The 16,952-nt window shown below is 48.8% G+C and overlaps 1 protein-coding gene across 9 annotated transcripts in view, besides 2 other annotated features; it reads left to right on the plus strand.

Moving 5' to 3' along the window:
• Positions 3,596-16,952, plus strand: part of MYO7B (myosin VIIB) — a 102,044-nt gene continuing 88,687 nt past the window's right edge. For all 9 annotated transcript variants that reach the window (XR_001738748.2, XM_047444437.1, XM_011511218.3 and 6 more), the window contains exon 1: positions 3,596-3,744. The gene's annotated coding sequence lies outside the window, so the exon portion shown is untranslated. The remainder of the gene's footprint in view (positions 3,745-16,952) is intronic.
• Positions 3,628-4,478: an enhancer, noted in NCBI's record as "H3K4me1 hESC enhancer chr2:128293291-128294141 (GRCh37/hg19 assembly coordinates)". NCBI's record gives its function as "activates a minimal SCP1, AML or CMV promoter by ChIP-STARR-seq in primed H9 embryonic stem cells {active_cell/tissue: H9 hESC(primed)}" and the evidence as "EXISTENCE:reporter gene assay evidence [ECO:0000049][PMID:30033119]".
• Positions 13,423-13,923: an enhancer, noted in NCBI's record as "H3K27ac hESC enhancer chr2:128303085-128303585 (GRCh37/hg19 assembly coordinates)". NCBI's record gives its function as "activates a minimal SCP1, AML or CMV promoter by ChIP-STARR-seq in naive H9 embryonic stem cells {active_cell/tissue: H9 hESC(naive)}" and the evidence as "EXISTENCE:reporter gene assay evidence [ECO:0000049][PMID:30033119]".

Here is a 16,952-nt window from a genome sequence, read left to right on the forward strand (position 1 = left end):
TAACCTCTTTGACTTTAACTTCCTTGCTATGAAATGAGGAGAAGCACCCCTCATTTGTTGAGGTTTGATGAGGGTTGAGTGAGATGGTACAAGCAAAGAGCCCAGCACAGAGAAAATCCTTATCACATGCCAGCTCTTTCTGAGACTGAGAATTCAAAAATGTTCTAAAGAGTAGTTCAGTCGCAGAGGTCTGTGCTGCCAACCTTGCTGTTTCATAGGGTTAATGGATAATTTGGCTGCTGTAGCCTAGATGGGAATATTAGGGCCACCATAAGCAAGTGACTTCAGTTAGCTCTATGATATGCTGGTAGAGCTGAAGCGAAAGGCTTGCTCTGTGTCAGTCGCTGTGATGACGCTATAATGGGCTTGGTCACTGACAGGAATGGAATGAACCATAGGTTGTCCATGGGCGCATTTCAGCTCAGCTCACAAACATGTTTTTCAAGGTTAGCTGAATATTTGCGTCTTGGGAAATGAGCACTACGCTAATTGTGGAAGTAGCACTGGGCTGGGAGACAGCCAAGCCTGGTCGCCCGTGTTACCAGGAAGAGCCTGCCCTGCCTTTCCCCAACCCATCTTCTTGATTTCCAGGGCTTGGGGTCCCTTGGCTATGGAAAGCCTGAGGCTCCAGGAGAACCATGCCTCAGGGTGTCCCCCTTTGCACCAACTCACACAGCAATCAGACCAGGTCCTTGCAATCATAGGCGCAGTTTTGACTGGGAGGGAGGACTTGGCATGCCACTTGAGAAATATTAGCAACCAAAAATTCATGCCCACTGTTCTTCCATAGTGGAAGATCTTCTTCCAGAGATCCCACTGGAATCTTCCATAATGACAAAATGCAAACAACGCTGAGAGCACAGATATGTTCATTGCAGTATTGTGTGTGACAGCAAAGGATTGGGTACCTCCCAGGGTCCATCCAGGGAGGATGGGTATACAAATGATGGGGCACTTGTGTGACATACTGTCACGCTGTTTCTAAAGACCAATGGTAAAAGTTTGGTACAGTGTCAGAAAGTTCTTGTGATATAATGTGTAACATAAAATAGAGAGAGACAGAGAATAGCAGGTCAGTATCTAAAATGTGTTTCTGTCAAATTTTGCATAAGGTGAGAACTGGATGGGAACATCTTACAGATTGTTTTGGTCCACACAGATTTTCTGTCCCAATATTTTCTTACATGAGGGCAGTAGAAAAGGTCCGAAGAGGACTCAGTCTCAGCCCCAGAGCAAGGGGTTCACCATCTCTGGGAGCTGCCAGGAGCAGCAGCGTCAGCCCTAGAGGAGCTAAATGGTATCTTTCTAAACCCGAGAAACCATGTGCAGCATGAAGCTCAAAAAGGCTGAGTGTGGACCCAGAAACCGAACCAAATTTTAGGGAGCAGGAGGCTAGTCAGAGCAAGGGCAGAACTTGGGGGGCTGTTCTAGGGGGAACAGGCGGGACAGGGGGCCGCCTGAAAGACTCGGAACATGCAGCTCCCTCCAAGTGGTCCTTCAAGGGATCTCCCAGCTTGGTTCCCTGTCTTTGGGATGGGCCATTTGGTTTTAAGATACAGAAACTCCTTCAAGCCATGTCAACAAAGAGAACATTTAATAGACGGAAACTGGGGACTCCATGGAGCCCACCCACAGGAGGCACAGGAAACCCTGAGGCATCGGGGGTCTCCTCCTGTCTCTGGAGCCACTGGGTCTCCACCTCTGCAGCTTGTCCACCTCTCCTTTTCTCTCCCACCACCGCTTGGTCTGTGTCCCCACGAAAGGTCCATGTTCAGGGTTGCCACCCTGCCTTGACCTCAGTTCTAAAAGACGATGGCTCATTCCCACATTTCTGCCTGCAGTTCCCAAGTCCCTCCAAGTCCAAGGAAAAGAAAGGAATCTGATTGGCTCTAGTTGGGCCAACTGTAAGGATGACCAGACCCCTTTTTTACCCAACACAAGGCCTGTGGCTGACCAGGTAACTACCTGCCCCTATTATCCACCCGCCTTCAAAGCCTTGCATAAATGAGCTCCCCTCGCCCTCCTGCTCACTTCCAGGGACTGCCTGGCCCCTCCAGTCTGACCCCACCCAGGGCCCACTGCGGTTGCACTTCCCTTCTAAACAGTCTGTATTTGCCTTAAGCCCAAATCCCCCTTGATCAAGTGCCAGCCCAAGCCTGCCCAATTTGTTGCCAGGTACCCTCCTGGGAACCTTGTTGTCTGATGGCCTTTGTCTCTAAGGCTTCCTGATGGCCCCAGACATGTCCCAGGTGTATGCTCCTTTCACACTCAACACAGAACACTCTCTTGACCAGGTGTCCAAGCAGTTCTCCAGCAGACTCCGTCTGGATGTCCTATAATTCAATTCAATCAGACACTGTCAACCTGGAGTCATAGATCCCACAGGTTAAGGGCTCAGTCCCACAAAACTGCCCCACTTCAAATGCAGTCTCAAGTCCTAGGTTGCCACCTATACTTCTGACCAATTGGCTATAAATCGGGGTTCCCATGCCCCACACCTGAGGTTGGATTTGCTAGCATAGCTCATGGAACTCAGGACGGCACTCATATTGACCAGTTCGTGGGAAAAGATTTTACAAAGGATTACAGATGAGCAGCCGAATAAACACGCACAGGTGAGTTGTGTGGGAAGGTCATGGAGCTTCCATGCCCTCTCCCGCATGCCACCCCCCAGGGACCTCAGATGTGTGGAAGCTTGTCAAATCTTGTTCAAGAGTTTTACCTTCCCAGAGGTCAGTAGGCGGGGCTGAAAGTTCCAACCCTCTATTCACTAGGTCTTTCTGGTGACTGACCCCATGCTGAGGCTAGGTAGGGCCCCCACATGGTCACCTCCTCAGCATAACTTCAGGTGTTATCAAACGGACTCATTATGAGATGATCACTTGGGAAATTTTTTGTTTGTTTGTTTGTTTGAGACGGAGTCTCGCTCTGTCACCCAGGCTGGAGTGCAGTGGCCCGATCTTGGCTCACTGCAAGCTCCACCTCCCCGGTTCACGCCATTCTCCTTCCTCAACCTCCAGCTGGGACTACAGGCGCCCGCCACCACGCCCAGCTAATTTTTTTGTGTGTGTGTTTTTAGTAGAGATGGGGTTTCACCGTGTTAGCCAGGATGGTCTTGATCTCCTGACCTTGTGATCCGCCTGCCTCGGCCTCCCAAAATGCTGGGATTACAGGCGTGAGCCACCATGCCCGACGATCACTTTGGAAATTCTAAGGGTTTTAGGAGTTCTGTGACACCAACCGGGAACAAGGACCAAATATACTGTATTTTATATTATACTACCACCCTCAATTAGAGCTTGGGGTGCTTGGGGGCAGAGCTCCTGCCATGCAGCACCTGGGAAGATGCTGAGCCCCCGGATGGTCAGCTGACTGTCACCATGGGATCTGGCTGGTGGCCAGAGCAGGTGCACAGACTGCAAACCCTGGTGGCCTCCGGGCAGCATGCATCGCTGCTCTGCAGAAGGGGCCTGGGTTAAAGAGCAGGTATCATGAGGCTCTGCCAGCTGGGGCTGAGGGAGGCGTGTGGGAGTGGAAGTGCCTGGAGCCCAGGGACAAAGTCCTGTAATAAATTACGTGGGCCCAGAGTGCTCCCAGTCATTTCCTCTTGGAGCCCTACCTCTTCTTCCTCTGTCCCTTACTCCCTGACACACCCGGAGTCCCAACATTGCCTCCTTTCCTGGCTCTTTCAGGGTGCCCAGGGTGGAGGGGAAGGGGAGTCAGCCAGACCCCCATCCTGACAAGGTAAGGGCGTGCCGGGGGCGTGTCTGCCAGCGGGGAGTAGGGGGTCACCTCTCTGAAGAGGGTCGCTGGGCAGGAGGCAGGTCCCCTGGAAATAAGATGGAACAGGTCTGAGGGATAGAGAGTGGAGAAGCCCTTCAGGAGCCTGGAAACCAGAAACCGCAGCAGGGGACTCAGTCCATCGGGCTGAAGGGCAGCACCTGGGGGGCTGAGGAGGAGGAGGAGGGGGAGAAGCTGTCTAGCCCTCTGCTGTAGAAGGGCAAACTCCCTGCAGGAGGGGAACGGCAGGTGCCAAGGCTGCTCCCACCCTGAAGCCTCCTCACAGCTAGAGGGCCTCACTGTGGAATCATGGGACATCATGGATAGCCTGGGTCCCATGATGAGCCCCTGCCAGATGTCAGCTGTGCCGTGTGTGACATCCCACTGCGTCCTCGCAACACAGTGGTGGAATTGCCTCCATTTTATGGACACAGAGACTGAGGACCATGGAAGCGAAGGTGCCCACGGGAAGAAGCAGAGCCGGATTCGACTCCAAAGCCCAGGCTTATCCGCCTTACCCATGTACCTTGGGCAATTGGCTTTAGTCACCTCTGGAAGGCTGGGACCCTAGGGAGAGGCAGGACAGGTCTGGGGTGTGGTGGGGGGGGGGGTGGGGGAAGAGGTGGCTGAGGAGAGGGACCGCACCGGGGCTCACATGGGCTGTCCCCCTTGAGCTGTCCAGGTGGTGTGTGTCCCATCCCCATTTCACAGAGGACGAAACTTGAGACACAGAGATTGTGAGAGCTGGCCCAGGTCAGACAGCTGGTGGGTGTGGGGCCCCCAACCCAGATCCCCCAAATTCTCCATGACGAGGCCTCCCCTTCAGGCTCCACTTTGTAACCCTGGACTTGAATTTTGCTCTAATTTATCAGAACCCTGCACTTTGTTTAGGATTTTAGTTCAGAGATTCACACACACCCTCAGTGAATCATTGTTAGGAACCACTCAGCTCATCAGCCCACCCCATCTCCCTGGACCTGCTGGGGGCCCTACGTCTGTCCTCAGATGCCACCTCTAAGAGAATCCTCCCCAGGCGGCTGTCTTGGGGCCTGCTGCATCCACAGCTCTAGCACGGGGCTCTGTGGAGAGGCGGCACCACAGGGATGACCTATATGTGTTGATATTGCTTCCTGTTTTACATATGTCAAAAGACAAAATTATAAAAAATTTATCTTAAAGATCTTAATTGGCTTTTATTTGCAATTCTAGAATTGGGCAACACCCCACTTATAGAATACAATGAATGATCTGATGAGCCGAGCAGAGGAGTTTGGCTTTATAGACAGAATGGGGCTGAGAGAAACAGAAAACAAAAGGGGATTAGTCATTTCAATTTATTTTCCTTGTAAAGGATAGAGCTGAGGGAACTTCCTTATCATGCCCGCTGAAACTGGCCTGTCTGGGGCTCCAGCTATTGTCTCTCTCCTGATTCTTGGAAGGTCAGATAACCTTCGTTTGGGCCTGGTGGTGTGGAACTTCAGCATGAGTGACTCCATTTTGGTCTGGTCTGTTGGCCTTGTGTAGGAGCTCAGACAAAACCAATGGCCTCCATACATTTTACTTAACACATGTATTTAAATGATGTTTGTGTGCCCATTCTTGGTCCACATACCAAGCTGTTCAGGGAGGAAGAGCCAGAATCTTAGCACATTTTTCACAGAAGAGATGAAGAAGGGTAAAGGAGACTGGGCATGGTGGTGGCTCATGCCTGTAATCCCAGCACTTTGGGAGGCCGAGGTGGGAGGATTGCTTGAGCCCACAACATGGGGAGACTCCATCTCTATAGAAGAATAAGAAGAAGGAATAGGAGGAGGAGGAAGAAGAAGAGGAGGAGGAGGAGGGGGAGGAGAAGGAGAAGGAGGAGGAGGAGAAGGAAGGATTTGACCAAGGCCACTGGACTATGAGCTCCTCGAGAGCCTGGGCTGGGTTTCTCTGGGGTTTTTCCATCTCCTGCACATGCCCAGGCCTCAGCAGAGAATGGACACTTGGCACATGCTGAATGAATGAATGGAGTAGCTAGCGGCAGAAGACGAGCTCAGGATGAAGTCAAGTTTTCAAATCCAGTGTCATTGTAGACTCTGTTGTCTGCCTTTCCAGCAGTGTGTAGTGTGTTCCTTCACTGCCAGCTGGGGAGGCGAGGCTGCGAAGGAAAAGTGACCCATGTACACCAGAGGCACAGACCTCCGGCATTGAGTGGTCAGAGGAGGCGGTCCTGGGGCTGAGGACAGGTAGGGGTGGGAAGGGATGCAGCAGGCTGTGAGGGGAGGATGGTGTGAGGATGAGGGTGGGGAACGGGGGATGTTCCAGGTGGAGGAAGTGGTAGCTGCAAAGATACAGAGCAAAGGAAGTACCAGTAAGGCTTGGGCACTGTTGGCGCCTGGCAGGGATGAAATACGGTTGAGGGGGGTGGTAAGATATGCTCTAGAACGTTCCATGATGATAGAAATGTTCTCTTCTGCACTGTCCAAAACAGTAGCCACTAGCCACAAGTGGCTGTTGAGCACTTGAAGTGTGGCTAGTGCAACTGAGGGTCTGAATTTTTAATTCAGCTCATTTAAATTTAAATAGCCACATGTGGCTAGTGGCTACCATATCGGACAGTGCAACCTAGAGGGTCTTGCTCATCAGGTTAAGAGAGAGGTGAAGTGGAATAAGCAAACGCTTTGGAGCCAAACATTTGCAGATTCAAATCTTGTTTCTTTCTTTTTTTTTTTTTGAGATGGAGTCTGGCTCTGTTGCCCAGGCTGGAGGGCAATGGCATGATCTCGGCTCACTGCAACCTCCACCTCCCAGGTTCAAGCAATTCTTCCCCCTCAGCCTCCCGAGTAGCTGGGATTACAGGCGCACACCACCACGCCCGGCTAATTTTTGTATTTTTGTAGAGATGGGGTTTCACCATGTTGACCAGGCTGGTCTTGAAATCCTGACCTCATGTGATTCACCTTCCTCAGCCTCCCAAAGTGCTGGGATTACAGGCGTGAGCCACTGCACCAGGCTCTGCAGAAATCTTGAGTCAAGAAATCTTGACTCAGTCACCTACCAAATGTGGGGCCTTAAGCCTCAGTTCCCTCTTCTATCAAATGGAGTAGCATCACTTACCTTGCAGGGTTGTTTTACAGATCAAACTAATGAGCAGGTGCTGGAAAACTTTCAGCACAGTGTCTGTCTGAGCTCCTACTCTGTTCTGGGGGCTGGGGGCAGAGTACTGAGGGTATGAAAAGGAACCACAGGGCAGTGGTTCATGCACAAGTATATGTATCTGTCAATTTCTCTTTCATCCCTTGCCTGCCTTATTCAAATACTAAACAAAACAGAGTGATATGAGGCAGCTTACAGTATACCTATAATACAACAGAATCAAAAATAAAATAAGCTGGGACGTAGGATAAATGAAGGTAGGAAAATACACTGCAGCTGGGAAAATGTTAGTAAACAAAATGTACATCAGAAAATCCCATATATTTGCTAGGCATAGACACAAAATTTGTTCTGAACTTCCAGATAGTCACGCACAAAACTATGCAGTAAAGATTAATAATGTTCTCAAGTTAGGCAAAAGCCAGTTTCCAAGGGGAAGACCAGCTTTCCTGTTGCAATGTCATGAAGGGGATAAAAAGGGAGAAAACGACATTGGCTATAACAGGAAATTCAGGAGAGTTTTTAAAGAGCTATTTGTAGAAAAGGAAGGAAGATTTCTCAGGGACTATCTCTACATGAGGGAGGGCACCTCACGGGCTATCTCAGCATGAAGGGGGCTTCTCAAGGACTATCATAAAAAGGAATGAATAAGGACTTCCTTGAGGGCTATTTCTTTTAAAAAAAAAAACTCCATAGTTTTTAAGGTACAGGTGTTTTTTGGTTACATGGATAAGTTCTTCAGTGGTGATTTGTGAGATTTTTTTGCACCTATCACCACAGCAGTGTACACTGCACCCAATGTGTAGTCTTTTGTTGCTCACCCAGCTCCAGCCTTCCCCCGAAAGTCCCCAAAGTCCATTGTATCGTTCTTACGCCTTTGCAGCCTCATAGCTTAGCTCCCATTTATAAGTGAGAACATACGATATTTGGTTTTCCATTTCTGAGTTACTTCACTTAGAATAATGGCCTCCAGCTCCATCCAAGTAGCTGCCCAAGACATTATTTCATTGCCTTTTATGGCTGAGTAGTATTCCATGGTGTACGTATACCACATTTTCTTTATCCACTCATGAGTTGATGGACACTTAGGTTGGTTCCATATCTTTGCAATTGTGGATTGTGCTCTTATAAACATGCACGTGCAATTGTCTTTTTCTGGTTTTATTTTTTTTTTTTGAGATGGAGTCTCGCCCTGTCACCCAGGTTGGAGTGCAATGGCGTGATCTCGGCTCACTGCAATCTCCGCCTCCCGGATTCAAATGATTCTCCTGTCTCAGCCTCCCGAGTAGCTGGGATTATAGATGCCCGCCACCACACCCAACTAATTTTTGTATTTTTAGTAGAGACAGGGTTTCACCATGTTGGCCAGGCTGGTCTCGAACTCCTGACCTCAGGTGATCCACCCGCCTCGGCCTCCCAGAGTGTTGGGATTACAGGCGTGAGCCACCGCGCCCAGCCGCAAGTGTCTTTTTCATATAATGACTTATCTTATTGCTGGATCTAACGGTAGGTTTAATTGTAGTTCTTTAAGGAATATCCCTACTGTTTTCCATAGTGGTTGTGCTAGTCTACATTCCCACCAGCGGTGAAAAAGTGTTCCTCAAGGGCTTTTTCTGGAATGAAGGGGGGCATCCAATGGGCTTTTGCTCTATCTCATGAAGTGGGGCTTCTCAAGGGATAGCTCTAGAATAAAGCAGGATTTCTCAAGGACCATCCCACAAATGAATGAGGGTTTTCAAAGGCTATCTCTACAGTAGAGGAAAGTTTCTCATGGCCTACCTCTAAAATGAGGGAGGGTTTTTGAAAAGGCACTGATACAGTGAACAGGGGCTTCTGTGGAGCTACGTCTACATGAAGGACGGTGTTTCAAGGGCTGTCTCTCTAATGAAGAATAATTTCTCAAGGGTTATCTCTGTATAGGAAAGGGGGTTTCTCACAGGCTATCTCTACAGCTTAGGAAGTTTTCTCAGGTGCTAGCTCTAAAATGATGGAGGGATTTTCATTGTTCATATCTATAATGTGGGATATCTCTCTCTACTGTGAATGACATCATCTCCAGGCTATCTCTCCACAGTGAAGGCAGCATCTGCTGGGCTGTCTCCACAGTGAAGGGAGCGTCTGCTGGGCTGTCTCCACAGTGAAGGGAGCTTCTCTGAGCCATCTCCATGGTGAAGGAGGCATCTCTGTGGCTGTCTCCACGGTGAAGGGGGCATCTCCAGGGCTGTCTCCACAGTGATGGGGGCTTCTCCAGGGCTGTCCCCACAGTGAATGTCATCTTCTTGATGCTGTCTCCACAGTGAAGGAGGCATCTCGAGGGCTGTCTCTCCTATGCTGTCTCCAGATAGGCCGACAGCATAGCATAAAAGTGCAGCTTAGGATGAACTGCCTCTGAATAAGTGTAAACCAAGCATTTTAGTGCAAAGCAGTGAACGTCACTACAAAGTGCTGTACAGGATCCACTGGTAGCAGAGGGTGTCAGACTTCAGTTCTGATTGAGAGGAATAGCATCAATGAGTCTGAAGGAAACAGTTGAACCAGGTCTAAAACTGCAGGCTGGACTAGAAGCTAAATAGGCCGACACTTGCCCATACCTACACGGGAGCCATATGGCACCTGAACCTAGTTGTGTGTGTCAAGTGTGTGTACATGGTGGGGAGGGATAAACTTGGTCAAATTTGCTCATCTTGTGATGTTGCAGAGGATAGGCAGGGTCTTTGCCAAATCCCCAGCCCCATATTTCCCCTCTGATAGGGAGCAGAGCCCTTCTGGGAGGAGAGATTCTCCTAGAAGAGGTTCTTCTCCAGGGCACCCTGCCTTCGCTGACTTCCCCAGGAGGGGCTGCACCAGGCTCTCCAAGAGCAGGGTCTCTTCCCCGGGGCTGCCTTGCCGTCGCTGACTGCCTCCTAAGGAAGCTGGATTTCTCTAGCCAAATTGTGTCATGTTGTCGGATTTTTGGCAGTGGGTTGGCTGGGCCCTGTGCCCACTGGGAGAAGACAGGATGGAGGACTGTAACTTCTCATTCTTACCCTGGGCTTGCCTGGGCAGAAGAGGAGGGAGCCCTCATGGTGATCCAGGAGCACTGCATCTCTAGGCCAGAGAACATCTCGCAGGGACATATATCTCCGGCACTGTCAGTCACATGCTATTCATGGGAAGGGTATCTCTTGGACATTACCCTGAATGCTGAGCTGTCCTGTGGGTGTTAGACTCCCTTCCAGAAGAGGGGCATACCCTTCTTCATGGGGAGCCCTGGGCTGTGGAGACAGGCTGGAGCAGGGCAATGGAGGGAACTTGAAATCTAGACTCAGGACCCTTTTTCTCTGGTGTGCACTGACAACCCCAGCACCACTGAGAGTGGGGCTGCCGCCACTTTCAGCTCTTCCTGTTGCTCCCTGGCAGCTGTGTGGGGGCCCTTTCTGTTGGGCCCTCCCATGGCTGGCTCCCCACTGAGCTTGGCAGTGAGGCTGTGCAGATGGTCATCACTGTCTGGGCGGGGATGGAAGCTCAGATATCCCAGACAACCCCTGTTGACAGTAAAATAAGTAACAAATGCATACTATGGATAAGGATGAAGGGGTGGCCAGCCCCTCCACACCTGTGGGTGCTTCTCGTCAGGTGGAATGAGAGACTGAGAAAAGAAAGAGACACAGAGACAAAGTATAGAGAAAGAAAAGTGGGCCCAGGGGACCGGTGCTCAGCATATGGAGGACCCACACTGGCACTGGTCTCTGAGTTCCCTCAGTATTTATTGATCATTATCTCTATCACCATCTCAGAGAAGGGGATGTGGCAGGACAATAGGGTAATAATGGGGAGAAGGTAGGCAGGAAAACATGTGAACAAAGATCTCTGTGTCATAAATAAGTTTAAGAAAAGGTGCTGTGCTTTAATGTGCACATACACAAACATCTCAGTGAGTTAAAGTGCAGTATTGCTGCTAGCATGTCTCACCTCCAGCCCTAAGGCGGTTTTCTCCTATCTCAGTAAATAGAACATACAATCGTGTTTTACACCAAGACATTCTATTCCCAGGGACGAGCAGGAGACAGATGCCTTCCTCTTATCTCAACTGCAAAGAGGCGTTCCTCTTTTACTAATCCTCCTCAGCACAGACCCTTTACGGGTGTCGGGCTGGGGGATGATCAGGTCTTTCCCTTCCCACGAGGCCATATCTCAGGCTATCACATGGGGAGAAATCTTGGATAGTACCTGGCTTTCCTAGGCAGAGGTCTCTGCTGACTTCCACAGTGTATTGTGTCCCTGGGTACTTGAGATTAGAGAATGGTGGTGACTTTTAACAGGCATACGGCCTTCAAGCACTTTTTTTTTTTAACAAAGCACATCCTGCACAGCCGTAAATCCATTAAACCTTGAGTCAACACAGCACATGTTTCTGCGAGCACAGGGTTGGGGCTAGGGTTACAGATTAACAGCATCTCAAGGTAGAAGAATTTTTCTTAGTACAGAACAAAATGGAGTCTCTTATGTCTACTTCTTTCTACATAGACACAGTAACAGTCTGATCTCTCTTTCTTTTCCCCACAAAGGAAAAGCCAGACAGGACAGAAAGGAGCCATGTGTGAAGTAAAAGTCTCTTCCCTCCTTCCACTCTCCACCCCAATAAATTACAGTTAACAGTTCAATATAATTACCTCCCCAGAGTATTTCTCTCCATCACTCTCTTTCTCTATATATGTATATATATATCCTCTCTCTCTCTGTTTCTCTCTCTCCATATATATATATATTTTTTTTTTGAGACCGAGTCTCGCTGTGTCACCCAGGCTGGAGTGCAGTGGCGCGATCTTGCCTCACCGCAAGCTCCCCCTGCCGGGTTCACGCCATTCTCCTGCCTCAGCCTCCCAAATAGCTGGGACTACAGGCACCTGCCACCACACCCGGCTCATTTTTTTGTATTTTTAGTAGAGACAGGGTTTCACCGTGTTAGCCAGGATGGTCTGGATCTCCTGACCTCGTGATCTGCCTGCCTCTCCTGACCTCGTGATCTGCCTGCCTCGGCCTCCCAAAGTGCTGGGATTACAGGCTAGAGCCACCCCAACTGGCCTTTATTTTTATTTATAATATTTTAGTGATGGAGTCTTGCTCTGTCACCCAGGCTGAAGTGCAGTGATGCAATCATAGCTCACTACAGCCTCGAACTCCCAGACTTAAGTGATCCTCCCACCTCAGCCTCTCAAGTAGCTGGGACCACAGGTGCTCACCACCATGTCCAACTAATATCTCCTATATTTTTAAATAAAAATAACATTATACTATAAAACATATATTATTTTTATTACATACTCATATATCAACACATATATTAGATTGAATCATTTGAAACTGCCAATATGTGACCTTCTTCACTTAGAAAAAGGACACTTTCATATAGTTCAACCTAACTACACTTTTTCTTTTTTTGAGACGGAGTCTCACTCTGTCACCCAGGCTGGAGTGCAATGGCACGATCTTGGCTTGCTGCAACCTCTGCCTCCCAGGTTCAAGTGATTCTCCTGCCTCAGCCTTCCAAGTAGCTGGGATTACAGGGGTGTGCCACCACGTCTGGCTAATTTTTTTTTTTTTTTTTTTTTTTGAGGTGGAGTCTCGCTCTTTCGCCCAGGCTGGAGTGCAGTGGCGCTATCTCGGCTCACTGCAAGCTCCGCCTCCTGGGTTTACGCCATTCTCCTGCCTCAGCCTCCCGAGTAGCTGGGACTACAGGCGCCTGCTACCACGCCCAGCTAATTTTTTGTATTTTTAGTAGAGACGGGGTTTCACCGTATTAGCCAGGATGGTCTCGATCTCCTGACCTCGTGATCCACCCGCCTCGGCCTCCCAAAGTACTGGGATTACAGGCATGAGACACCGCGCCCGGCCACGTCTGGCTAATTTTTTTGTATTTTTAGTAGAGATGGGGTTTCACTGTGTTAGCCAGGATGGTCTCGATCTCCTGACCTCATGATCCGCCCGCCTCGACCTCCCAAAGTGCTGGGATTACAGGTGTGAGCCACCGCACCCGGCCCTAACCATGCTTTTTAAAGAGCTGTGTGGTATTCTACCCAAAGGTTGAACCTGAATCCAGCAGACCTCTGTTGTTGGACAATTGGTGGTTTGTTGAGTTTTTGTTTGTTTCCATTTTTTGCTATTACCATCAATGCCTGTACATCTACCTTGATGAACTTTTACAAGTATATTTGCAGGGTATGTTGCTAATAGTGGGATTGTGTAGACAAAAGGTGTTTAAATTTTTGATAGATGTTATCAAATTGTCTTCTACAAATGGTGGCACCAGTTTACCCTTTACCACAGTGCATGGGCAGGCAGGGTCATCTGAGGCCACACACAGCAGCGGGCCTCCTGGGTGGGCCCACTGTGCTGCCCAGGGGCCCCCTCCTTCCTCAGGCTCCCATCCTGGGTGAGCAGCCGCATGCTGGGATGAGATCAGACCCTTCAGTTGGGGGACATTGGGAAGTTACCTAGCCTCGAGCAGCCTCAACTCTCTGAGAGACAAGTCGGGGAAAATGAAATAACTTGGGTGAAGCACAGCCCGACAGCATAGAACGAGGCTCTGCTGGGAGCAGTTCCCCTTTCTTTTCCTCTCCTCCTGCCCAGGGCCTTGTCTGGCCTGGTGGATGGGTGCACAGGCTCTGCCACAGCCCTGTCACCACTAATGCCAAGGCTCAGTTTTTCCAAATATGGATGAGTATGGGAAATAATCATATGTGCCTCACGGGCTTATTGTGCAATGGAAGGGGCATTGTATGTGGAGCTGTTGGCCCGGTGAACGCCCAGTAAGTGCTGCTCTTGTAATGATACCAGGACAACTCAGCCTGTGAATCCTTGGACCCTGGCAGGCCCTCTCCCCAAGGCTGACCATTTATAGTGACCTTTCTGGGGTCCAACTGGGGCCCACTGACCAGCCTGGGCTAGCCCCAAATTCAGGGTGTTTGGCCCGGATCTAGACTCTGGTGACTTTGCCTCCTTTGGGTGGTGGCCCTTCCAACCTGTGTTCTTCTTGAGTGATGGCTTCCATGCCAGGTACTCTCAGCTCTGGGGAGCAGGGAATAGGCAGTCAGCTGGTGGCATAGGAGAACTTCCAAGTCTTACTCATCCCTCACCCAGCCCCAGATGCCCTTTCTGCCCAAAGAACACTCAGACCCCTTTGGAGGGCAAAGCTTTGTCAGTGCCCCTTCCGGGCTGGTATCCCATAGGCCAGAGTCTCAATGTTAGCTTTGCTTCTTGGACCCCTGGTTCCTGATCTGTGAAGTGGGATGTCTCCATGGACAGCACAGGGTTGCTGTGGGGCTCAAATGAGAGAACCTGTGGAAAGTGCCCTGCACACAACCTGGCACTCAGCTGCTTGCCCACTCCAGCCCTGTCCTGGTCCAGCAATGCTTTGATCTTCCCTGCACCTCCACCTCCCCACTTGCCTTTCAGCATATTCTTACCCACTCTACCCATACTCCAGTTCAGTGGCACCACAGAAATGTTAGTGGTGTGGCTTCAGACCCACAGCAGCTTTGAGGAGGGCTTTGAGAACTAGCAGTTTACCCTTCTCTTCTCAGGTGAAGGTAACCCTCATTCTGGTCCCTGAGATTAGGTAGGACACTGATCCCCGTAAGCTCAGCCACACTGACCTGCCTCAGGGCTTAACAAAAGGAACTGGACTAAGAAGTCATCCCATTCCCAAGGGGCAGAAAATTTTAAGCACACCAGTGCTTCCTGTAAGGGGCAATGCCTCACCTGCTTTCCTGGGTAGGTCCATCCATCCATCCATCCATCCATCCATCCATCCATCCATCAATCCATTCATCTGTTTGTTCATTCACCTATTCACCCACCAATCTATCCACCCATTCACTTACCCAATCCAACCATTAATCCATCCACCATCCATCTATCCACCCACCCACCCATTCACCCACTCATTCAACCACTAATCGACTCATCCATCCATCCATCCACCAATCTATCCATCCATCAACCCATCAGTGGATCCATCCATCCACTTACACATCCATCCAACTACCCATACATCCACCTATTCATTCACTAATCCATCCATCTATTCATCCATCTACCTATCCATCCACCAACCCATCCATCCATTTACCTATCCACCCGTCCATCAGCCCACCCTTCCACCTACCGACTCATCCATCCACTCATCCCATTCATCTGTCCACTCATCCATCCATTTACTCAGCAAGCATGTCCTGAGCCCTGACTAGTATGAGTAAGTCACTATCCAGCTCTCAAATTTCTCACAGGTGTGGGAGAGACACACACTGTAACACATAAAAACAGGGATAAATGCTGAGGTTGAAAATCGCAGCCTCTGCATGTGAGGATGTCTGTGCCTGTGTGTGTGTACATGCATGCATGTATGGTAACACACGTGCTTGTGTGTGTGCTCCAAATTCATATCAGATCAAGTACAGACACACTGAGGTAAAAGAGAACATGGGGTGTTTCAGGAACTGCATGATATTCAGTGTACCCTGGGGGGAAGAGGTAAGATACAAGGTGGGCTGAAAAGGTAGGCAGGCTATGATGCTGAAGATCCTTGAGTGTCATAAAGATATGGCACATTCTTAGCTGTGGGAGGCATGACACGGTCAACTTTTGCATCTTCTAAAGATCACTTGATTGGTGTGATGGAGGATGATTGTTCTGAGAGTCCAGCAGCAGCAAGGCCACCTGGGATGCTTCCAACCTCCCAAGTGAAGGATGACAGGAGACTAAGGGGTGGCAGGAAGGAGAGTGCCTCAAGTTTTTTCTTCCTTTTAATGTCTTTATCTCATTTTGGCATTAGAGTAACGCTGGCCTCATAGAACGAGTTAGAAAGTATTTCCTCTGCTTCTGTTTCCTGGAAGATACTATGGAGAATTAGGCTCATTTCTTCCTTAAATGCTTGGTAGAATTACCAGTGAAACCATCCACACCTGGTGCTTCCTTTTTTGAAAGGTTGCCAATCATTGATTCAGTTTCTCTAATAGATACAGGATTTTCAGATTATCTATTTCTCTTTGCTTGAGTTTTGGTAGTTTTCATTTTTCAAGGAATTTGTCCATTTCATCTAAGTTACCGAATGTGTTGTTCATAATATGTCTTTACTATCCTTTTAATGTCCGTGGGATCAGAGTGATGTCTCCTCTTTCATTTCCAATAGTAGTTAATTTGTGTCTTCTCTTTGCTTTTCTTGGTTAGCCTGACAGAAGTTTATCAATTTTACTGATGTTTGCAAAGAACCAGTTTTTTGTTTCATTGAATTTTCTCTTTTTATTTCCTGTTTCCAATGTCATTGATTTCTGTTCTAATTTTTATTTTTTATTTTCTTCTTACTTTAGGATGATATTCTTCTTCTTTCTCTAGTTTCCTAAGGTGGAAGCTTAGATTATTGATTTTAGATTTTTCTTTTTTTTTTTTTTTGAGATGGAGTCTCACTCTGTCACCCAGGCTGGAGTGCAGTGGCGGATCTCAACTCACTGCCACCTCTGCCTCCCAGGTTCAAGCGATTCTCCTGCCTCAGCCTCCTGAGTAGCTGGGATTACAGGTGCGTGCCACCAAGCCTAGCAGCTTTTTCTATTTTTAGTAGAGACGGGGTTTCACCATGTTGGTCAGGCTGGTCTCGAACTCCTGACCTCGTGATCCACCCGCCTCGGCCTCCCAAAGTGCTGGGGTTACAGGCATGAGCTACCACGCCCGGCCTCTAGATTTTTTAACTATGCATTCAGCACTATAAATTTCCCTTCAGTACTTGTTTCATTGGATTCCACAAATTTCGATGTGATATTTTCATTTTCATTTAATTTTACATTTTTCTTCGGACTTACCTGACCCATGTGTTATTTAGAAATATGTTTCTTAATCTCTAAACATTTTGGGCTTTTCCAGTTATCTTTCTGTTATTGATTTCTAGTTTAATTCCATTGTGGTCAGAGAACATACTTTGCGTGTATTTTGACACTTTCTTGGCAGGTGCGTACATGTTAATAATTGTCATGTCTTCTTTGATAAATTTATCCCTTTATCAT

The sequence above is a fragment of the Homo sapiens genome, chromosome 2, assembly GCF_000001405.40.
Source record: "Homo sapiens chromosome 2, GRCh38.p14 Primary Assembly".
Taxonomy (NCBI): Eukaryota; Metazoa; Chordata; class Mammalia; order Primates; family Hominidae; genus Homo; species Homo sapiens.